Source organism: Homo sapiens, chromosome 17, assembly GCF_000001405.40.
Source record: "Homo sapiens chromosome 17, GRCh38.p14 Primary Assembly".
Classification (NCBI taxonomy): domain Eukaryota; kingdom Metazoa; phylum Chordata; class Mammalia; order Primates; family Hominidae; genus Homo; species Homo sapiens.
In genome coordinates, this window is record NC_000017.11 from 63,097,403 (window position 1) to 63,122,231 (window position 24,829).

Genomic DNA, 24,829 nt, shown 5'->3' on the forward strand with positions numbered 1-24,829 from the left:
TTATACCTTCTATTAAAAGTAATGGCAAAAAACTGCAATTAGTTTTGCACCAACCTAATAAATCAGGGGTGTCCAATCTTTTGGCTTCCCTGGGCCACATTGGAATAAGTATTGTCTTGGACCACACATAAAATACACCAACAGTAACGATAGCTGATAAGCTTTAAAAAATTGCAAAAAAAAAAAAAAAGTAATGTTTTAAGAAAGTTTATAAAATTTGATTTGGGCCACATTCAAAGCTGTCCTTGTCCGCATGCAGCCCACGGGCTAGATAAGCTTGTTCTAGATGTTAGACTCTATCAGATACATGATTTGGAAATATTTTCTCCCATTATGAGCATTGTCTTTTCACTCTCTTGATAGTATCCTTTGTTGCATACAGTTTTTAATTTTGATGAAATCCAATTGATTTTTTCCTTTAATGCTTGTGCTTTTGGTGTCATATCTAAGAATCTATTTCCATTCTTTGACTCTCCATTCATCATTTTAATGTTTTCTTCTGACGTATCTTCCAGTTTACTGATTTGATGTCTAATCTACATTTACATCTATTTATTAAATTTTTAATTTCATAATTTCATTCCTCTGCTAAAATTTTAAACGTTTATTTTCTTAAACATATTTAGCATATTATTTTAAATTCTGTCCCTCATTGTTTTGTATTCAGTATTCTTATGAGACTATTTCTGGTTTATATGGCTTCTGTATTTACTTTGTTCATGTTATCTTATCTCTGTTATTGTTAATTAAGGGCTAGATGCTGTATGTGATCAATTATATAAATAATTTGAGACCTACGATGATATTACCTTCCTCCACAAAGATTTATGTTTGTTTTTAGTAGGCACTGTCAATGCAAAACTGTCTTAATTTAATTTTATGGGAAATATTTAGAGCTGAGCTTTAGTCCCTGTGAGAACCAGTCAAGTTTCAGTTCCTACTTTCTCCTAGAGTATAGTTCTTTGGGCTTTTAACAAAAGTGTTGGAGTTTTGCTATCTCCACTTTCACCCCTTGGTGGGCCTTAGACTACACACACACACACACACACACACACACACACACACACACACACACACATACACTCTCTCTCTCTCTCTCTCTCTCTCTGTGTGTATATATATATATATATATGTAAAAATTTATATATATATAATTTTATACCATATGTTTATGGTTCTAATTTTCCTTGGGAAAAGTTTATCTGAAGTACATAATTCTGCCATTACCAGAAGTGGAAGTCAACAGCATATAAGTAGAAGTAAACAGCATGTAATTACTCTTTTTAAAAATTAGAACAGATTCAAAGATCATTATATAATAATGTCAGTCTTACCCACTTGAATTTTTATGTATTTTCTTGGAGGAGGGGAGAAAGAAATAGAGTTACAATGATCCTACTAGCAATTGCACACGATGGCTTGCTAAGCAGATAAATACCTTTAATGTGTGTCTTATCAGAAAAAAAAGTAAGATCATTTCTTTATACAACTTATGTGGAAATTATTTTCTTGTATTTCCTTATATGATTGCATCTCTCATGAGATAGTGAACACCTTATAAGAAGGAACCTTAGTTTACTCATCTTCAGTTTCGTAGTGCTAGACCTGGAATTGAGTACATAGTAAGTGTAGAAATGAATGCATGTAGTGAAAATACTTTGATTTTTCACAGTGAAAATATTTGTTGTTCTGGATTATCCTATAAGATGTATTTTAATAGGGAAGGCAGGATCTTTTCTCACCAGCTCTTTTGTTCCATCCCCTTCTAACAGGTGGCATCTCCACAGAAAGCGACTGTGCTTTTGAGCCAGACTACGCTGTCCCGCCACTTCCAGTGAGTGAAGGTATGCAGCACATTCGGATTATGGAGGGCATGTCTCGCTCTCTTCCATCCTCCCCCTTACTCACACATCAGTCTATCAGTGTTCGGCTCCAGCCTGTGAAGAAGTTAACTGGTAAGGACTTTACCTAAATTTAGTATGTTTAACAGGAAACCTAACGATATGACACTTTAGGTCACGTCAGATGTGTATATTTGCATCTTTAGGTTTTTCCTCTCTGGCCTTCCTAATGTCACAGACTCTTGACACTAAAAAAAAAACTCCAACTGATTTTAATTTAGAGAATTAGAACAGTACTCAGTTTGACAGATTGATGTATTTATTTTCTAAATGACCCATCTGTTGTGAACATATTTTTCTAGGTTTTCAGGAAGTTCCTGGTTTTGCCAGAATACACTGTTGTTCTGATTTCATTTATCAGCTTGTTCATGTCAGGTTAACAGATGGAGACATTCTAATTTTAGGATAATAGGAGCTTGATAGTTCAGCAAAGGTACATCAGTCGTATTTTATTTGAAATTGCTATTTGTATATTTTATATATTTTTTTAAAAGATAATTTAGATATTTTCCTCTACACTGGACATTAACTTCTTAGGATATTTACTATAATTCATAAGTTATGGATTATGTTGACTTTAATATGATCTCACAATATGTATTACCCATTTAGATCAAGTTGTTAGGTGTGAAACTGTGGCTTTATTAAATGAACTTTTGTCCTTTTACGTCTTTTCAGGAAATAAATTTTAATATATAGTTGAAGAATGCTTATGTGTGAAAATATGTAATCCTGGGTCACTTTGTTAGATTTCTTCTAGCATTATCAATATATCCCTGATGTCAGTAAGTTGGCTAGTATTGATGGGTTCTAAGTGCATGGAGGCATGAAATTAAGTTATTCACAAAGGATATGTCGACTGTTTCCTGTCTGACATTGAGCTAGACAGTAGAGAAGTTTGATTATCATTATGACAATTCAGAAGAAAATGAGAAATGAAATTTTTGGGCACTTCTGTCTATGTAGAGTGAAACTTTTTCACTGTTTATAATTTTCATTAAAATAATAGCATTTCTTCTATAGTTCTACAAAGCATAAATTATGCCTCTTTACATTGTGTATTATTGGCATTTTCAAAAAATAAATGAATCAAAGTCACTTTGGCCGTTAGATACTTCAGTCTAAAGACACTTTGGTCATTAGATTAAAAAAATAGGTAAAATAGCCTAAAAACATAATATCCTGAAATACCAGTTCCCTTCTAATGTCCAAAAATATGATGAATTTTATGTGATTAGGCTTAAATAAAATCTCAGTGCTTAGAAATTCTCCCTGTTTTACAGTCAAAGGTATTATTGATTACTAAAAATATAAAAATCCCAAATCTGTTGGCTGTCATGTGATGTGTTTCATTTTACCACACAGAGTGGAAAAAATAGTAAGTCCAGTTTCTATGTAGAAGTGAGCTGGATTGCCTGAAGTTTTAGAGATACCGCTTTCCTATCCCATTTGCCTATCTTAATTTGAATGTCAACTTAATAGTCAACGTTTATTAAGAGATAACTATTAAATATAACAAAGTCAATAACATACCTAATATCACAGAGGTATTGTAGTGAAGCAGTAATGCAGAGTGTAATTGATTAATGACATGTATGAACTTTTGAGTTTTAATTTTACAGTATTTGAAGCTTCTGTAATTTCTCATAGTTTAATTTACTGAAGACTATCAAAGGCCTAGCAATTTAATGATTAAGAATGCATTTTTAAATTTTGGAAGAAAACAACTTTACTGAAAGAGTATGTCAGGAAAATGTTTCTTTGGTCAATTTTCTGCCAAGTGAAGCAGATGATAAGAATTGTCTAGTTTAACCTGGAATGAAATTACTTTGAAATTCAAAATAAAAACCTCAGTAGATTATTCATCCATTATCCCTTCTTAACCTAATCATCAGTTACCCCTTCTTTTCTAATTATATCTTGTTATAAGTAAGTAAAAGGAAAGTTGAATGGAAAAAAATTAGCCGACCGTAAAGAAATTTTCTCCAAAGAATGGTTCTTTCTTGGCATTAATTATCAAAATGCAATAATTTAATCAGGCCATTAGGACTACACTTAGTAATTTCTCCATTTCCATACATTCAAACTTTCAAGTGCCTTGTATGTATTCATATTACCAACCAAACTGAATGAATAGGGCCAGAAGAGTCATCATATTCTATTTTCTTTGTGACTTTCTAATAGTCTCTTGTCTCTGGCACAGTTAAAAGCAGTTTGCTTATTATTCTTCAGTGCTTTTTACTTAATCATTCAACAGATATTTGTCTAAGGCCCATTACATGCCTAGGCACTGCTCTAGATATGATAGAGTGGTGAAAAGGACCACTAAGACCCCTGCCTTCAAGGATTTTATATTTCAGTTGAGAGAAGATGTAATAAATGCATAGCCAGTAAATAAATACTTGAATTTTAAATGGTGGCAACTACTACAAAGGTAATGCAATATGGAAGGGGATAGAAACTGGGGTTGAGGTAGAGTTTCCTTCTATGGAATGACTGGGGAGAGTCAAAGGAGGAGATAATTGAGCTGAGTTTTCAATTTAAGAAGGAGCCAGCCATGGGAAGATCTGGGATCGGAGCTTTCCAGGCAGAGCTAACAGTCAGAACAAAAGTCCTAAAGCAGAAATGAGCTTGGCATGTTCAAGGAATGGAAAGAAGGCAAGTGTGGCCTGAGCAGAGTAAGTCTGAAGGGACAGTAGTAGAAAATGAGTTAGAGCTGGGGCACGATGGCTCATACCTGTCATCTCAGCACTTTCAGAGGCCGAGGCAGGAAGATTGCATGAGGCCAGAAGTTTGAGACCACCCTGGACAACATAATGAGACCTTGTCTCTACAACAAATAATTTAAACAAAATAGCTGGGTGTCATGGCATGCCACCCATATGTAGTCCTAGCTACCAAGGAGGCTACGGTGGGAGTGTTGCTTGAGCCCAGGAGGTGGAGCTGCAATGAGCTCTGATCGCACCACTGCACTCAGGCCTGGGAAACAGAACAAGCAAGACCCTGCCACTAAAAAAAATAAAAATAAATAAATAAATAAAAAGAGTTGGAGAGGTGGGCAGAAGCCACAGTTTTTAGGGTCACGGTAAGGAGCCTACTCTGATTGCAGGATTTTTTTTTTTTTACCTTATTTATTCTCTCTCTATTGTTTTTTCCTTTTTATTTTTATTTATTTATTTTTATTATACTTTAAGTTTTAGGATACATGTGCACAATGTGCAGGTTTGTTACATATGTATACATGCGCCATGTTGGTGTGCTGCACCCATTAACTCATCATTTACATTAGGTATATTTCCTAATGCTATCCCTCCCCCCTCCTCCCTCCCCCCACCTCTGGACACAGGAAGGGGAACATCACACACCAGGATTGTACGATTTTAAACAGAGGAGGAACAGGTAGTAGTATGATCCAATTTACCTTGTAATTGAATCTTGTTGGCATGTATGTAGAGAATGAAGTATGAGGGACTAGAGTATCACATATTCATTAGCCTTGTGCAGTCAGCCCTCTGAATTCATGGATTCAACCAAACACAGATTGAAAATATTTTTCTTAAAAAAACCATCTGTACTGAACATGTAGATTTTTTTATAATCCCTAAACAATACAGTCTAACAACTATTTGCATGGCATTTACATTGTATTAGATATTATAAGTAATTTAGAAAGGATTTGAAGTATACAGAAATATGTGCCTAGGTTATATGCAAACACTGTGCCATTTCATATCAAGGATTTGAGCATAATCCAAGGAAGGTCCTGGAACCAGTCCCCCATGGATACTGGGGGACAGCCACATAGGTTTTCCTGATCTTTAAATAGTCATTATTAGTCATTGTCTCCACTTCTAATAAGGTGGGTACTTATGTTTTCATTTTGTAAGATATGACAAAGGAGTATCCTTTTCCTATCATTGTTACTCTGTAACCTTTATACTCTTAACATATTTATCTTAGTCTTCCATGCCGGTGTATATAAAGACTCATTTGCAGATATAGGTCCATTTCCAAATAGTTTGACTCATTTTCAGTCTGGAGGGAGTAAGAATGGGTAAAGACCAGCTCAAGAATAGATATAGTTTAGAGCTTGAAAACTAATTTTTAAATGTATACACACCTCACTCTATTCAGTACAAAAATAAGTTAATGTAGTAAATGTGTTCAAGAGAGACATAGACTTTGTGGTCCGACTGTTTGGGTTTATATCCCAGCTCTGAGTGTCACGTCACGACTGTTTGCTTCTGTTTCTTCATCTGTAAAATGGGGATAACAATAATACAACCGACTTCATGGGTGTTTGTCTTATTCTTATAATCACATTGTTTTATACTTTTTAAAAACCGTGTTTAAGGGCTCAGAAAGTGTTAGCCGTTATTGTTAATAAAATTTGTTGAGAAATTTGTAAAAATTGCTTTTCATGTTAGATACCAGTGGGAACTTTAAAGCTTCATATGTTTTTAAAGTCGCACTTTTTAATGAGTAATAGCAATAATAATGACAATAATTTTCATTATAATGCCTGTTGTGTGGCATACTCTTATTAGCTTGTGTTTTTGTCACTGGTGTCTCCACTTTACAGATGAGCAAATTAAGTTCATAGAGAGGTAAATGTCTTGCTGAAAGTAAAATGTCTTGTGGAGGATAATACAGCTAGGCAGCGGTCAGAGTTAGGATTAATCCCCAGTCCCTCCACATGTGTCTCATTTTACCAAGAAGAAAATCAAGGTTTAGTGAAATTAAATAGCTCATCCGGAGCATCTAGTATATCAATTAAGATTTTTATTGTTTCAAGTAATAAAAGATACAGCCAAATGGTTTAAGCAGTAAAGAAGACCTAAAAATTGGGCAGGTTTCAAGGTTCGTTGGGCTTACTTAGGTATTGCTGTGCTTTGGGGGCGATGTGGAAAAGAGTAAGCAGAGGCTCCCTGTGGTCTCTAGATTCTTGCCCAGTGCTCCTTCCAAGATGCTTTCCCATAGTATCATAAAGATCCTCAGCATAGATAGATGATTAAGGATGCTAAAACTTCATTCATTCAACTCTTACGGAATTTATATTATTTACCCATTATGTACATTTGTTAAATTTAGTAAAACTTAAATTTTGCATATACATACTTTGGGTAGGGGTGAAAACTGGTACAACCATTTTTATGGCAATTTGACAATATGTATCAAAATTATAAGGCACATAATCCTTAATACACCAATCTTATTACTAGGAGTTTGTTTTACAAATAAGCTTGATCAGATTTGAAAATGTGTATGTATGTGCGTACTATATGTGATATTGTTTATATAGCAAAAAATGAAAATCCAAATATTTCTCAATAGGAACCCATGTGTGTTTTTAAATGATACATATGCAGACATACATACACACATGCATGCGTTTGTTGGTAGCCTAGAGAGATAACTCTTACTCGGAAGTGGGAGAGGGATGACATAAGTTGTGCTGTATAGCTTTCTGTAAGTCTTATCTTGTATAAAATGCAAAATCTCTTGAGACAGTATAACAAAATGAACCCTGTCATTTCCTGACTCTGTAATCTCGCTCAAATTTGTTTAAAGTCTCTGTACTTCAATTCCCTTATTTCTAAACTAGGGTTGATAATAGTATCTACCCCATAGGAGTAATAAGAGAATTAGATTAATTAGTACATGTAAAGCACGTAAGACAGCGTCTGGCATAGAGTAAGTAGTCAAAATGTTAGCTAAATTATTATTATAGTTTCTAAAGAGATGTGGGTATTGAGTGTTTATCAGCTATGTCAAATATGTGTTCTGAGCTTTTGCAAGGTAGCCTTCAAGAAACAATTACGCTAAGTCAGTCAGTCTACTTTTCTGAGGAGTAATCTTCAAATACCAACATCAAATAGATTATTATCTAATCTCTGGGATAAAAAATGGCCTGATTTTCAAAGTATTTGTTGCCAATAAATTGGAATGACCATGTGGCAATCCAATTTGGATGGTAAATAAGTCACAATAACTGATTTGATCATGCTGAGCCTGGATATTTTAGATGCTAGCTATGGCCAAAGCCATGAATAAAAAGGAAACATTTACTTGTTCCAGAAACATCCTGGGGAAATCTTTGAAAAGCTCTTTTGACATTGAAAAGGGCCTATACATAGTGTTATTCTACATAGTCTGATATATTTTAGTATATTCATGATATGTTCTTTGCATAATAATATACTTATCCTGCAATTTTTGAAAACCTACTAGAATTCAAGATGTACTGTGGTGAATTTTATGATGGGAAAAAAATACAGAATTGCTGCAAAGATTAAATAAGATTTCTTAAACATATAGTCTAACATAACAAACATTAACAAATATTATTTTTCTTCTCATTTATATCTTGGAAAAAATGGAAACATAGTCTTGTTTTATAAACATCCTGGAAAAATTACTGAAAAGTGAATTGGAAAATATAAAGGGCCTGTAGATAGTATTAGTCTCTATAGTCAAGATTTATTTCAGCATACTTATAATACTGTGGCATCTGAGTAAATATCTTGCAATTTTAGGATAAACATTGGAATTCATAATATAGTATAATGAATTTGTTAGATTAAAAAATATAGGAGACATGCATGGTAGTCTTAAGTTCCATCATTACTAACTGTTAGAGACCACATGTTTTTGTAAGGTTAAATGAGGAAATATATACTAAGACTTTTAAGCTCTTTTGGAATAATAGACTAATTAAACTATTAGATCTGGACCTCATTCAGGGTACTGTTTCTAATTTGGTTTCTAACTTCAGATTCTCTGGTTTATGAGATAAAGATTAGGCTATTGTAAAACAGTGTAGGATTGGAAAAAAGGGGGGGCCCTTATTTCCTTGAAGAGGTTATTTCTGTAGTCTTCCAAATCAAAAGTAGAGAATGTTAGAGGGTTATTACTTAATTCAATATAATAATTTCAATTATCATGAGTCAGTATTGTTAAAGAAAACCAGAGCTCGACAGTAAAGTGGTAAAAACAGATTTTAGTAAGGCTCTATTGCAATAGTATAGAACTGGGCTCAATTCTGAATATAGTAAAGAATGTTGGGGATTTATAGCTAAGGAGCAGAGTGGGGCAGAGGATAGAATCAGTGGATGGAAAATTATTAAGAGGAAGCTTCAAGAGTAAGGGGATTATTGCCGAACCAACTAAACAGTGCCTTGCTGAAGGCAAGCCATGTTGACCAGATTATCAAGGGTAGGGGGATTCTCACTAAACTGAGTTAGCAGGATTCTTGCTACAACTGGGCCAGGAGGCGTGAGGACAAGGCCCACGCAAGAACGTTGAAAAGAGGTATCAGAGGAACCTGACTAAAGTTTGGTTAAGGGGTGAGCCTTTGCCACTGCGTATATGTTGAACACCTAAAAGGCGGCATGAATTATCAAACAAATAATCCTTTTGTGATATTTGCACACACTGGATTTCAAAATAATTAAACCTTCTCTTTTTATATTTAACCTGTGAGGTTTTAGACAAGAAAGTAATTTTCTAGTTTTTTTTCTTTTCATATTTGAATGGAAGTCACTCATACAAAGTGAAAGTTTTATTTATAGTATTGTAGTGTTTATTTATAAAAGGATTATTTGTAGTAAGTGTAGTATTACTGTATGTATTCTTTTGAAATATAGTAGCCTTGTCTTCCTACCTCTATTCAGCCACCACTAGGGAAAGTTTGCGAAAGTGCCCAAATGACCCTTAATGAAGAGAGAGCCAAAATAACAAGTCATTGATACTTTTAAGATGAAGTGGTTTCATTTCTGTCAGGTTAGATGATTTGCAAGGTTATGATGAAAATTGGAATGGAAGAAAAACAATAAGAAAAATATTTTTAAAAGTCAAATAAGATAAAATAAGTTGCTTGTCACAAGAAAGTGATTTCAGTTTCCCTTATAAAGACAAAGTTATCAGAATGTATAAAAAGCATTTCCAGGGAGTGTTATTTATAATAGATGCTTCTAAACAAATTGAGAGGAAGCTTACAAATAAAGGAATGAAAAATATATACCAAATAAATGTTGAGAAAAGGATAGTATTATTTGCAATAATATTAAACACAAATAAAAAAGTTTTATTTGATATTTTATGCAGATACAATTCATGAAGTAGATGTTAACGATTATTGCTTTTTTATGCATGAGACAACATGGCATCAAAATGTATAAAGTTATCCAAGAGAAAAGAAAACATATGTTCACACCAAAACTTGTACATGTATGTTCATAGCAGCATTATTCATAATAGCCAAAGAGTGAAAACAGTTTGATGTTCATCAGCTGATGAGTGGATAAATAAAAAGTGATATATTCGTATTATTTGGCATTAAAAATAAATGCTTTCATGATCCATGGTGAACCTTGAAAACGTTACACTAAGTGAAGGAAACCAGTCACAAAAGAACATATGTTATACAATTGCAGTTATATGAAATGTCCAGAATAGGCAAGTAATCTATAGAGACAGAATGTTAATTGGTGGTTACCTAAGGGAAAGGGGTCACCAACGATGGTATAGGTAGTGAATGCTTAAGGGTATAGGGTTTCATTTTGGGGTGATGAAAATGTTCTAAACTTAGATTATGCTGACAATTGTACAACTCTGTGAATGAACTAAATCCATTAAATTGTACTTATATCTCAATAAGGAAGTTTTTTAAAAATAAAAACTTCATATAGTAAACATTAGCAATGAAAGGGAAAGTTGATGAATTTATATTTAACCCATTTATGCCAGAGGCTACAAATTTTTTCATGTCAAAAATCAGACCTTGGCCATGACCTTGAGCAGTAGGATATAAATAACTCCCACAAGCTTAGCGTTCCAATAGTGGAACACTAGGCATAAATGAGTTAAGGCAGATTTCATGCCTCATAAAATGAACAGCTCATTAAAGGATATGGATAATTTGAATAATAAGCAATTAAACTTAACTCATTATATTTCAGAATTGCTAAAATACTTGGAATGTTCTAAACAAAAAGAAATAAGTGTTTGAGGTGATGGATATCTCAGTTACCCTGATTTGATCATTACATATTATATGCCTGTATCCAGATATTACATATACCCCATAAATATGTAAAGTTAATATGTGTCAAGTTTTTAAAAGCTTAATTCAGCCGAGTGTAGAACCTCATACTGAAAAACATAAGATTTCTTATACTTGTATTGTTTTCCAGCACTTGTGAACTGTTTATAAAAGTTGATTATAGGCCAGACGTTGTGGCTCACGCCTGTAATCCCAGCACTTCGGGAGGCCGAGGCGGGCAGATCAGAGGCCAAGAGATCGAGACCATCCTGGCCAACATGGTGAAACTCCATCTCTACTAAAAATACAAAAATCAGCTGGGTGTGGTGTCATGTGCCTGTAGTCCCAGCTCCTTGGGAGGCTGAGGCAGGAGAATCCCTTGAACCCGTGAGGCAGAGGTTGCAGTGAGCCAAGATCATGCGGCTGCACTCCAGCCTGGTGACAGAGCAAGACTCCATCTCAAAAAAAATATAAATAAATAAATAAAAATAAAAAATTTTAAAAAGTTGATTATATAGTTGGCCATAAAGAAATCTCTGTACAATGCACATATTTTTCATTGAAAATCAAAATAGAATCTAACAACAAAGAAGATAGGGAGAAATTTCTTTTCTACTTCTAAAATTTTAAAGTTTTAAAATAACTTTTTAAAATAACTTTTGGGTTAAAACAGAAACCAAAATTGAAAAAAAAGTTGGAAATTAACATGTATTATGTATTAAAACTTATGAAATGTAGCCAAAGTGGTACTCTATGGAAAAGTCATTACCTTGAATACTTTTATTAGAAAACAAGAAGTACTGAAAATAAATGAACTAATAAGGAGATCGAGGAAGACATAGTAAACATGAAGTAATCAATAAAGTTAAAAGGGAAAATGAATAAGCAAAAAACTAGTACTTGATCAGTAAAGCCAGTTTCCTTGAAAAGACTAAGATAATAGAGCAATCTTTGATAGAAGTGATCAAAATGAAAAAGAGGGAGTGAGAAAAGATAACATACAGAACATACAGAACAAGAAATTAGTCACTAATCTTTTTATTATAAGGGAATACAGCATATAGCTTTATAGCAAAACAATACACACAAAAAAACCTTGAATGAGATGGAAGAAAACTGCTGTAAATTTGACTCAAGAAAACTTAAAATTATGACTAGCCTGGTAACCATAGAAATCAAAGATCTCCAAGAGTCATCAGACCTAGATGATTTTACAGGCGAGTTTTAGCTAAACTTACAAGTAATAATTATAATAATAGTAGTAGTAATTAAAGATAATATTTTTTGAGCTGTTACCCTATTCTAGACAGTGTTAAGTAATTTACCTATATGAGCAAATTTAATCTTCACAGCAAACTTAGTGGATAGTCAACAGTCTCTGTGTGAACACTTTCAGTGATAGTGAGCTTTCTTCTTTGTAACATAGCCTGCTCCTTTGTTCAGTAGTTTTAACTGTCAGTTCTCTAATTTACATGGATGGAAATGTCCTCCTTTATTGCTCCTACCCATTAGTCCTAGTTCTGCCTTGTAGAACTATACGACATAAATTAACCTCTTCTTTCACGTGGCAGTCTTTTATATCCTGGAAAGCAGCCATGATGTCTACTTTTCTGTAGCTTAAAAGACTTTATTTACAGCCTGTCTGATACCAAGATGGTAGTACAGCTGTGTTATTTTCATCATCTTCTGCTCTAGTAACCATATGAAAATGGGCATGAGATTACTTTGAAATTACTCTTCCTTGTGACCCCTTATCAACTTTCAGTGAGCATTTTTTTTCTTTTGAGAAATTGAATAGAAACTCCTAGTGTCCACATTTTGACATCCTTTAGTCCTGTAGTTCTGTGAAGTTCCTGCATGGCTTTACAGAAACTGTTATTGGTAGTTTCATGTTCATGTCTTCCTGTCCTTTTAGAATTCTGAAAGGTAAATTGTGTGGGTCTGGATTTTGATTATGTGTATTTTAACTTGTCCTCAAAACTTGGTCTTTAATGTCCTCTTAATGATGTTTATTAAATATAATTTTCTTAATGGAGAACATTAAAGCAAAATCAGAGTTGTCTTAATTTGTTTAGGTTGCTATAAGAAAAAACCTCTGGGACTGGGTAATTCATAAAGAACAGAAATCTATTTTCTCACAGTTCTGGTGGCTGGGAAGTCTAAGATCAAGGCACCAGCAGGTTTGGTTGTCTGGTGAGGGCTGCTGTCTGCTTCCAAGATAACACCTTGTTGCTGCATCTTCCAGGAGGGAGGGACATTTCGTCCACACCTGAGGGAAGATGGAGGTGTGACATAACCTAACTCTGTAGCCTCTTTGATAAGGTCTTAATCCCAGCCACAAAGGGAGGAGCCTTTATATGGCTTAACTACCGCTTAAGGGTTCTACCTCTTTCTACTGTCATACTGGCCTTTAAATTTCAACACCTGAATTTTGGAGGACACGTTCAAACCATAGCACCAAGGGTTGAGTAATGGATTGTTCTGTCTCTTACTTAGAGCAGGATATTGTTAAACATGGCAGACTTTGGAGTCAGATATACTTGGTTGAAACCGTGACTTTGCTACTTATTAACTGTATGACCTTGGCCGTGTCACTTGACTACTCTGAGTATGTTTTGTTACCTGTATTGTATTATTGGTATTTCTGCATCACAGAGTATTGTATGGATTAAGTAAGATATCATGGCCGGGAATGGTGGCTCACACCTGTAATCCCAGCAATTTGGGAGGCCAAGGTGGAGGATTTCCTGAGCTCAGGAGTTTGAGAATAGCCTGGGCAACATCTCAAAATCCTGTTTCTACTAAAAATACAAAAAAAATTAGCTGGGTGTGGTGGCATGCACCTGTAATCCCAGCTACTCGGGAGGCTGAGGCTGGAGAATCGCTTGAACCCGAGAGGTGGAGGTTGCAGTGAGCTGAGATAGCACCACTGACAGAGTGAGACTCTGTCTCCCTGCCAAAAAAGTAATTAATTAAATAAGATGTGTGTCAAGAACTTAGTAAAGAGTTTAGCTCGTAGAAGGTGATTCATAAATGAAAGCTTATAATAAAATCACTACATAATTTATCTTTCCCATGCAGCAGATCTGTCCTGTCCTTGTCTGTTTTTTAATTCTAAAAACATCCCAGCAATCCTTTTTGCTATCTTCAAAACATAGCTCTTCTCAACTGGGGCTCTATTCTTCGTGGACAATATTGTTAGATGGTTTTCTACTCTTCATCTTTGATTATGGTTTTCTACTCTTCATCTTTGATTATTTCCCCCTCTCTTTGTATATTTCTTTTTCAGGCACAATCTGTCTTTATCAAAAAATTTCTGATATGGCAATATTTTTTTAGATGCTTCCATATGTTTATGATTGTATAAATTGCTTTTTATTTTATTTATTTATTTTTTTGAGACTGTATCTCACTCTGTCACCAGGCTGGAGTGCAGTGGCACAATCTCAGCTCACTGCAACCTCCGCCTCCCAGGTTCAAGTGATTCTCCTGCCTCAGCCTCCTGAGTAGCTGGGATTACAGGCGTGCACCACCATGCCCAGCTAATTTTTGTATTTTTAGTAGAGACGGGGTTTCACCATGTTGGCCAGGATGGTCTCGATCTCCTGACCTTGTGATCCGCCCGCCTCGGCCTTCCAAAGTGCTGGGGTTACAGGCGTGAGCCACCGCGCCCGGCCATTGCTTTTTATTTTTAATCTATACCCTCAAACCATATTCTCTTTTAAAATTATTGACCATGGGCTCATAGCTTCTTTTCTCTACATTTTTAAAGAAATGTTTGCCTAAATCTGAAGTGTTGAATTGACGGTCCAGCATTCCTTTTAGTGCTGTGACCAATGAAGGGTCAAACCAAGGACACCTAGGACCTGAGATGGAGAAGGCAAGTTAGTAAGATAACAGTGTGGTAGCACTCATGAAGTAGATGCATAAGCAGACCCTAAAGATTAGGGTGGATCAGCAGTAGGGTAATTGTTAGGTGTCACAGGAAGTAAGTGGAACCTGTTAATCCAAGGGAATCTAGGGGGAGGCAGTAGGCAAAGTTCCAGGGAGGACAAGTAGTCAGCACCAAGAAAAATGTCTAACATTGAGGTCACTGTGTAAGGTAATGTTGTTTTTCAACAGATCTTTATGGAATGTCTGTAATGTGGCAGGGTTAAGGCTCAGAACTCTAGGACCCAAAGAACTGATAGGGTCACACTGGTCAAGAACCCAGCTGAACGAAGAACCCGTTTAGAGTTCTACATAGTCATTTGTAAACTCTGGGCAGATTAGTTCTTTTTGATCTTCTGTTTCTTCATATGTACAGTGAAGATAATAACACCTTAAGGCTGAGAGGAATACAGAAATGTGTGTAGAGTTTCTTTTTGTGCCAAGCACTTCTTGTGACAAACAAGGGGAAATAATAAAAAGAATCCTAACATGTGAAAAAGTTGTCAATCACTTGATTAATATCCTTTTTAGCTCCTGTGTTGTGTTTCCAAGAATTGGGTATCAGTTTTAAACATGGAAAATACCATGAAGATTACAGAAAAAAATCCTTCATTGTCCATCCTTCTTCTGTGACCTTCCCCAGAAAACTCACCATGATTTATGCCATGGTCCCTAGGAAGTCTAATTTTTTTACTTAATTGACCTTGTCCTTCTTTACTTGCTTAACTTCCCACCTGCTATGGAATGTGAGCAGTTTAGAAAGTGGCAAATGTGGAATTTAAGGGCTAAACAATTTTGGCCATGAGGAATACTTTTCAGTCACAAAGCATCACAAAAGTCAAATAAATATCCACGATTCAAAAGAAAGCCTTAGTAACTCTCTAAACAGGAAATAAATTATAGTATGGGATAATATAAAGCTTAGAACAGAATATATGTTCACATTATAACAACAGAAATTTTTATAATGCTAAACTATATATTTATTCTCATTATAGAAAATTATGCACCCAAATTGACATTCAGCCCATAAGAGTAATAAACACGTGGCATGGCAGAGTAACTCCCTCTCTTAGAGGAGGATTTTAAACACCAGAGGGCAGAGTGTTCCAGAGGACATTTTCAGTTCAGCTGGCCTTTCTTAATTGTAAATGCGCATCCTTACCTTGTCCGTCAGTCATTCATGTCGTGGGCAGAATTTCAAAAGTTAAGAAATGTGGTTATTTCATTTTACTTATTTTTTTCTTAAGACACAGAGTCCTGCTTTGTCACCCAGACTGGAGTGTGGTGGCACAATCACTGCTCATTGCAGCCTCAACCTCCTGGGGTCAAGAGATCTTCCCACCTCAGCCTCCTGAGTAGCTGGGACTACAGGCGTGCACCACCATACCTGGCTAATTTTTTCATTATTTTGTAGAGATGGGGTCTTGCTATGTTGCCCAGGCTGGTCTAAAGTCCTGGGCTCAAGCAACCCTCTCACCTCGGTCTCCCAAAGCACTGAGATTACAGGTGTGAACCACTGTGCCCAGCCAAGAAATATGGTCATTTTAGAATTGTCTATGTGGTATTATCTGTTTTGATGACTTTGTTTAGATAGCACAATGAGCAGTGTTTTGAGTTATACCAGAGTTGGTTGAACATCTCTGTTTTCCCCATTTCTGGTTAATGTTCATGTTTCTGATTTCTGAAAACGATTTTTAGAAAAAATTATGTATACATCTATATCATTCAGTAAATTTTATAACTTTAGATTAATGAAGTAAGTAAAGTGAGAGAAAGGAGATTTGATATGTGTATCTTATGGCTCAGTATGCCCTTTTATGCCCTGCTTATCAATAAAAACATTCTGAAAGAACCACCTGCCAACTCATGACCTTTTTCAAATGTTACAATTATCATTTAGAGGTAGCATCACACATTTGGGATAATTTTATTCAGGGTTTAGATAGTAAAGTCAACATATAAAATAAAAACTGAGTATAAAGAAAATTATCCTCAGAAATCCATTACATATCATTCACGACATTCATTAAACAGAAATACTGCTTCTCAGTATATCCAACCCTGCCAGTTTATCCTTTAGAGTTGTAACTATTTTACTCTTTACTCTCTTTTTCTTTGACCACCAGATGAAGTAGTTGGCTGATGTATAGGGATCACATATATGATTTTTAAGAATATATTTCTTTTTCTTCTCTGTCACTCATTACCCTACTGCTGCAGATTGAAGTCCTGATCTGAAGCAGTAGCCATTGCTAGGAAAGACACAACCCCGCGTAGAAAGTTGGCCAAAGCTTGAATTGCTATAGCTAGTAGAATGGTTACTTTCTTAACTCCTGTGAGAATAGAGATTTCGTATGTACATCTCTTCATAAATATTACCCTACCTTTAAGCACAATAGAGTTTAGCACGGATGATTACTCCTTAGAGAAAGCTTTTAATATAGCAAGACTGAAAAAAGAATAAAAATAAAAAAGAATGTAAAACTGTATAAGTTTTAGCATGACTTACCTAAATTAATCATAAAGGAGTTAAAAATTAGTAACCAAGGGGAAGAGCTTAACTCCTTAAATCTCTCTCCACCCTTAAGTTAAATCCAATTTTTCAAGCAAAACAAAACCTGTGTACTTTGTCTTTTGAAGTATTTTAATCATGTCCTCATCCCAGTTAGCTCCTACACAGCATAAGCAACGTTAGAAAAAATTATTTGTTGTCCAAGTTTACATTTTTTGCAGAACTTTTCTGGTATCTCTCTAATGCAAAGATCTGCTCAACATGACTTGATGATGGGGAGGTGGGAGAGAAAGTTGCTCTTTTTACCTAAGATATTGAATAATTAGTATTCTAAAAAGTCACAACTGAAGAGAATTTCCCTCAAAAATAACTACTGGCACAAGACAATATTTGAGTTAAAAAACTTACTAGGTAGAAGAGATTAGATTATCCAGGAAACAGAATGAGATAGGCTGTCCATGGAATTTCCAAGTCAAACATAATAGCTCATTTTTGAGTTTGCCCTACAGTTTTCTAGTTAGGTAGGATAAAAAGTAATAGGTTATTTTAAACAACTCAATCACTTTGCATGTTCTTTGATATTAACCATTCCATAGAAACCACTTATACTTCTTTATTACCAAGTTACTATTTTCTGAAGACATTTATAAGTCATGTTGAGGCAGTAGAATTACTTGTACATTATTATATTAAATAATCCTTGAACGCTAGTCCGCAGTATCTGTATCTACTATAATTCTAAAAAGAAATAGCTACTAGCTACTTGTGAAAAGTATATGCAGTGTGATGGGACACAATATCCAGTCAAACATAAAACCTAGCCTGGAAAAATATTTACCCTTTCAGGCAATTTTCTGTGTTTATGGAGTTCTATTGAAATTCCACTTTTCATTTTTCTTTGCTGTTTTGCTTAGATACTATTAAAAAAGATAATATAGATGTTTAGAATTTTAAGCCTTTGCTTTGTATTTATTTTTTTCTATTCCCACAGTAGCTTTAGGAATAAGGTAGAAAATGCTTTACTGAGATGAATCAGTGGGTCAGAGTAGTTAGGTGCCTTACTCAGGGTTATATTTAGAAGTAGCAAAGCTGTTAGTCCAACTACAGTCAAGACTAGTCAAATGCATGTCCATCCCACTACATTGCAATTCTTTTTAGTCACATTTTACTGAGGTTCTTCATTTATGGAGATAAATGCATCATAAATCTATGACCAACAAATACGTAACTTTTCCAGAATTGGTATTATAATGGCAGTGTTGCCCATGTAAGAGAATGGTATAATAGGTAAATTTACCTAATATTTTGCTTTGTATTGTATCTGAATATTGCATTAAATAAATGGTGATGGAAAAGTAACACAGAGATATGATATAGAACAATTTCATATAGAACTACCCTATATAAATAGATGAAATATCATAGCATCAGTGACCCATGCTTAATAAATCTAATGAAAGATATTTTTCTGCACCAGTCATCTCAGAGCAACATCCAGAAGACTATAGAGAGAGTACCATTACGACAATTCTATGCATTGGTGCTTTCACTGGCTCCCTCTTCTCCTGTGATACCGTTTGGAAGCTATCCTACTATCCCCTGGAAGGGGGAGCTCTTCCTAATTCCTGGGAGGTGAGGGAAAACTATGACAAGAAAACGATTGTCCAGGCCCAGTTAGGGAGAGGCCTTTAGAAGCATGGAGTGGACCAGTAACCCTGTCTTACAAGTGATTGACGGAGAAGTTTTCTTGTTCATGAATGAAGGCTATGAGCATTTTTAGTGAAGTAAGTGTCTTTTGAAACTTTCTTTATCTAGAAGGAATACAGGTGATAGTATGCCTCTCTTTGAAATTGGTGTCATTGCTACTTTATTAGTCAATCAGTTGATAGTGCTGCAGTTTTGGCATATCTGATGCATACCATCTGAATGAAAGGCATTTAATTAGGGTTTTAATATCTCTAAGTATTTAAAAATGAATTTTCTGCTATCTCAAACTCTAGACAGTTCCTTACATTGCAACAAAATCACTGTATAATTTTAACACTTAATAAATTATGGAGATACTGCAGACCTATATTAGCTTGCTAAAGTATTAATATTTTAAATTACCTCAATTGCATTTTTTGTTGGTGCCTACTAAGTAACTGTTTTACAGCGTATATTCACACAGCTCTGATTCAGAAAATCAGAAGAGCAAAACATGAGAAGGAAACAGTAAGAGAGGAGTTTACAGCTTTAAGGCATGAGGAGCTTACAGCTTTTTAATATAAATTGTTCCCAGAATCCATGTCACAGATCCTTATATGGTGCTGCTTTTTTCCTCTTGGTTGCTATGACAACAGCAGCACTGCACCATTCATCAGCTCTGGACCTGGGCTGCACTGCTAGCCTTCCTTGTTACTCCTGAATGTTAAGAAGAACATCCGTGAATCATTCACTCTGTTAACGCTGCGCCATTAGAAACCTAAGAACCAGTTCTTCCAGTAATTTGCTCTAACAGAGGGTGAACTAAACTGCGCCACAGAGAAAAATTGTGTAAAAATATTTCTTTTATCCTAATGGAATCATACAACCTATATTTGCTGCAGTATTCTGAAAGGACAAGCTTATGTCAACCAATCTAATGAAAAGAACTCGTCTGTGTAATCTCTTGAAATCATTAGTTGTTCAAAACAGAATACCACAGTGCTTCTCTGGATACAAAAAGAAGCAGGTGATGTTGTTAGGGGTTCTAAACCCCTTTGGGAGCATCTCTTGTGCTTTGGGACCATAATCAACATCTGCTATAAGAAGTATCACCTGTAACGCACAGTAAGTTCTGGGCAGCGTAAAGAGCTGGCTGGAGATTAAAGTGTGGGTCATTCCTGATGTGTCAGGTCTGATAACAACATGACCAGTGAATAAGAAGCCTTTCAGCTTTTCTAGGGGAAAAGACTCTGTAGTATTGACTAGTGAGGAAGAAAAACTAAAACCTGTGAGTATGATGAGTAGAGTATTTGTTACGTGGATTTCTGAGCTGTAAAGTCTACTTTGTTCTTTATAGAAAAATAAACACAGCCTAAGATAATTTGACATCTAGTTTTCAAGGAAGCCATTAAGAAGCTGTATTTTGGCACATTTATTTAATTTTTAATTGTGTGTTCTTTTGCTTTATATATTTATATGCATATATGAACCTTTTGAAATGGTTTTATATTTTAAAAAAGAATATGCATTGCAGAGAAGCCTGTTAAAAACTCAATTTTTCAATGTAAATGTGAAGGTTAGATTGTCTCTCCTGTTAGATTGCAATTCCAGAATAGAGCTCTACTTCCTGTTGCAGTATCCTTATAAATAAAATACCTTTTTTAAAAAATAACAATATGGAAATCTAGAATTTTGTAAACAAGCTTTCTTAATACATAAAATCATTCTTGTTATTTCATTAACTGGAGTGTTTACAAATGGACTTTCTTAGTTTAAGAATTTTTTTTAACAACACAATTTGCAAGTTATGATATTTATTGTCTTATTTTCTCAGTTGAGTTTAGACTAAATTAGAAATTTACCTTTGTTTACTTGTATTTTTAGATCATTTGGTAATTATCAACAAGATATATTGATTTTATATACTGACTTTTCTTAAAAGACTCTTTGTTTTCTGGCTTTTAATTATTTTCTCTTTTTAGTTCCTCAGCTAACCATGGTAACTTAGAAATGTCTTGAAAGTAGGAACTTGGTTTTTCAAAATTAGGATATTTGTAGTGATCTTCAGCCACTTCAAAAAAGAAAAAGATATTTTCATTTAGTCTTATTCTTTCAATTACTTGTCTTCCTAAGTTGCTCTTATTGATTTATTGATTGATTGAGACAGGGTTGCCCAGGTTGGAGTGCAGTGGTGCAATGATGGCTTGCTGCAGCCTCGACCTCCCAGGCTCAAGCCATCCTCCTCCCTCACCCTATTGAGTAGCTTGGACTACAGGCATGTGCCACCATATCCAACTAATTTTTTTTTTTTTTTTTTTTTGAGACAGAGTCTCGCTCTGTCGCCCAGGCTGGAGTGTAGTGGTGCGAACTCAGCTCACTGCTGCAAGCTCTGCCTCCCGGGTTCACACCATACTCCTGCCTCAGCCTCCTGAGTAGCTAGGACTACAGGCGCCCACCACCACGCCCGGCTAATTTTTGTATTTTTAGTAGAGATGGGGTTTCACCATGTTAGCCAGGGATGGTCTCGATCTCCTGACCCCGTGATCCGCCCACCCCAGCCTCCCAAAGTGCTGGGATTACAGGAGTGAGCCACCACACCCGGCCCTCCAACTAATTTTTTTAAAACATTTTTATAGAGATGAAGTCTCATGTTGCCTAGGCTGATCTCAAACTTGGGCTCAAGCAGTCCTCCCACCTTGGCCTCCCCAAGTGCTGGGATTACAGGTATGAGCTGTGGCTCCCAGTCTGAGTTGCTCTTCTGAAATGCACTTTATTTGGAAAATATATACGTCAGTGATATGACTAGGTTATTTTAATTTACACAATTAGCAAAAGAAGATTTTTGTTATTTTGTCATTATACCATTCAATTTCTATTCCTTCTTCCATTTTTGAGACTTTGCCTATCTGTTTATACAAGTGCCTTTGCCCAATGTTTAGAAAGCCTTTAAATAGGGAGAATTAATATGTTAAGGGATAATGAAAGGGTTAATCATTTGTATTAACAGTTATATATGTCATTAATAACAAGATTTTGCTTCCGTCATCTATAACGGATCAAATAAATATTCACATTTTAACTATTGCTCTGCAAGTAAATAAAATAGGAATTTTAAATTTTATGTATATTTAATAATTGTGTACATTATAAGTTAATGCTTCTTTATGACTATCCTCACACATGTATGTATAGAAACAAAGGATTTTATATATCCATTATCTCTGAAACTATAATTTTTATTAACAGTAGCAAAGAGGCCGGGTGCCATGGCTCACACCTGTAATTCCAGCACTTTGTGAGGCTGAGATGGGAAGATCCCTTGAGGCCAGGAGTTCAAGACTAGCCTGGGCAGCACAAGGAGACCCCATCTCTACAAATAATTTTTTTAAAAAATTAGCCAGGCATGATTGCACATGCCTCTGGTCCCAGCTACTTGGGAGGCTGAGGCAGGAGAATCACCTAAGCCTGGGAGGTTGAGGCTGCAGTGACCCATGATCACTCCACTATCACTCCACTGCACTCCAGACCAAGTGACATAGTGAGACCCTGGGCAACAGAGCAAGACTCTGTCTCATAAAAAAAAAAAAAATTAATAACAAAGACTGGTTTAGGTACTTTTTAATGAGGTTAGTATTTTTATTAGCAGATTTATTCATTTTCAAGTAATCTTTCTTGACCATATCCTTTGGTATTTTTTTTTTATGTTTGGGATCTTATTATATATTCCTTAAAGATTGTATATTAACCTATTTGTTTGTTTGTAAACTGGCTAATGTAAAATCCACTATAGACCTCCCTATTTTAAGAGATGCTGCAGTAAGTCCTTTTATAATAATCCCTATTATGCTGATTTGGTGAATCTGTATGTATGTTAGGTTTTCTTAAAGGCCATCCAGTTTATTTCAGCATGTAAAAATTCAAGTTGCAGATTTAACTGGCAGAGTTCTATGAAAAAAATAAGACTTAATACTTTGGATGATCATTTAGCCCCTCAATTTCAAACTAGTTTGACAACTTCCATCTTACTTTCTGAAATTCTTTAAAAAGTCTTTTCAAGGCCAGGTGGTGACTCATGCTTGTAATCCCACCACTTTGGGAGGCTGATGTGGGTGGATTGCTTGAGCTCAGGAGTTGGAGACCAGCCTGGGCAAATGGTGAAACCCTGTCTTTACAAAAAATACAAAAAATTATCCAGGCATGGTGGTGCACACCTCTGGTCCCAGCTGCTTGGGAGGTTTAGGTAGGAGAATCGCCTGAGGCTGGGAAGGTAAAGTTGTAGTGAGCCGTGATTACTTCATTGCATTCCAGCCTGGGTGACAGTATGAGACCCTGTCTCAAAAAAAAAAAAAAAAAAAAAAAAAAAACTATTCAATATTGTTCATATAACATACAACTGGGTAAAATCTTAGTTAATAGTAGGCGTTACTTTTTTGGGGGGAGGGAATGTGCTAGTGAATAGAATATAACAATTTCAAATGTAAACTCTTAGGTTTTTTCCCCTGGTTTTCACTAACTGAAACTTAAACATGTTGTCCTAATAACACTTCTGAATATCTGGGAATTTGTTAGTAATAAGCTTTTATTAGAAAATAAATACCTCATTTCTGTTAGAGTCTACATTAAGACATGAAGGACTCCTATTGGTGATAAATTATTTTAAAAGGGTCATTTCTAGTCATCCTAGCTATTTTTTCTCATGGGAATTAATCATAATATTTCGGTGATAAATGTGTGTTTTTTATCACTCCAACATTATGTAAGAAAACATTTTTACCACTGTAAACTTTGCAGCTTAGGACAGGTTAACTTCTGTGAGGTTTCTCTTCTATAAGATGAATGAAGTAGTGCATTTTTGTAGTGTCATTGTAGGCATTAAGAAAAATATATAGATAAAGCATCTAGTATAGTACTTGACACAGGGGAAGCATTCTCTTAGTCTTTGATACTTACTTTCCCCCCATTCCTCTCCATTGGCCTACATCAGTGATTTTTGGACTTTTCTTTGGGAGCTCCTTTAAGGCAAAGGCATTTGAATACTTACCAAAGGGATCTGGGATGTAGCCTGAAGTGGTACCCAAAAGGAAACCTGGAAATTTCTTGCAAATCTCATATTTCTTTAAAACTGTGTACATTCTACATGTATTTTTATTTTATAATAAAAATGTTTCCCAAAAAAATCTTTAAGTAAAACTCACTCTTCAGGAAAATATACTACATTTTCTCCTATAAATTTGCATACCCCAACATAATACTCCTCACCTATATGTATTCCCCAGTTGAAGACATGCTACTTAGATCATCGGGTCTGGGTATCATTTTAAAAATAGAAATTCTAATTAGCTGGGTGTGGTGGCATACATATGCCTGTAGTCCCAGCTACTTGGGAGGCTGAGGTGGGAGGATCGCTTGAGCCCAGGAGTTCTAGGATGCAGTGAGCTGTGATTGTACCACTGCACTGTAGCCTGGGCCACAGAGTGAGACTTCATCTCTTGCGGGGGGAGGGGGGAAGAGGGGGAGGGGAGGGTGCATATTTCCCTGGAGAAAGAGATTGAGAATCAAGAGGCAAGGATGAAAAACTCAATCTGGTTGAATCTGGAAGGCTTACTCAGTTCAAAAAAGTGAATAGTGGTTTGAAGTTGAGTTAAGCTGTAGTGGGATGAGAAAGGAATATTTCATGTCGGAACTAGAGAAGAATGATGATAGAGAAACGGTTTAGCATTTTAAAGCCTGAGAAGTCCTACAATAAAGGGAACT

General features: G+C 35.4%; 1 protein-coding gene across 21 annotated transcripts in view; it reads left to right on the forward strand.

Annotated features, from left to right (window-relative positions):
- TANC2 (tetratricopeptide repeat, ankyrin repeat and coiled-coil containing 2) overlaps nucleotides 1-24,829 on the forward strand; it is a 461,469-nt gene that overhangs the window by 131,168 nt on the left and 305,472 nt on the right. For 14 of the 21 annotated variants that reach the window (XM_011524597.3, NM_001394998.1, XM_006721810.4 and 11 more), the window contains exon 4: nucleotides 1,773-1,955. In XM_011524597.3, coding sequence (XP_011522899.1) covers nucleotides 1,773-1,955 — 183 coding nt within the window. Of the gene's footprint in view, nucleotides 1-1,772; nucleotides 20,201-24,829 lie in introns of those variants that run through there. The other 7 variants (XM_011524601.3, XM_047435732.1, XM_011524602.3 and 4 more) reach the window with 2 other exon arrangements.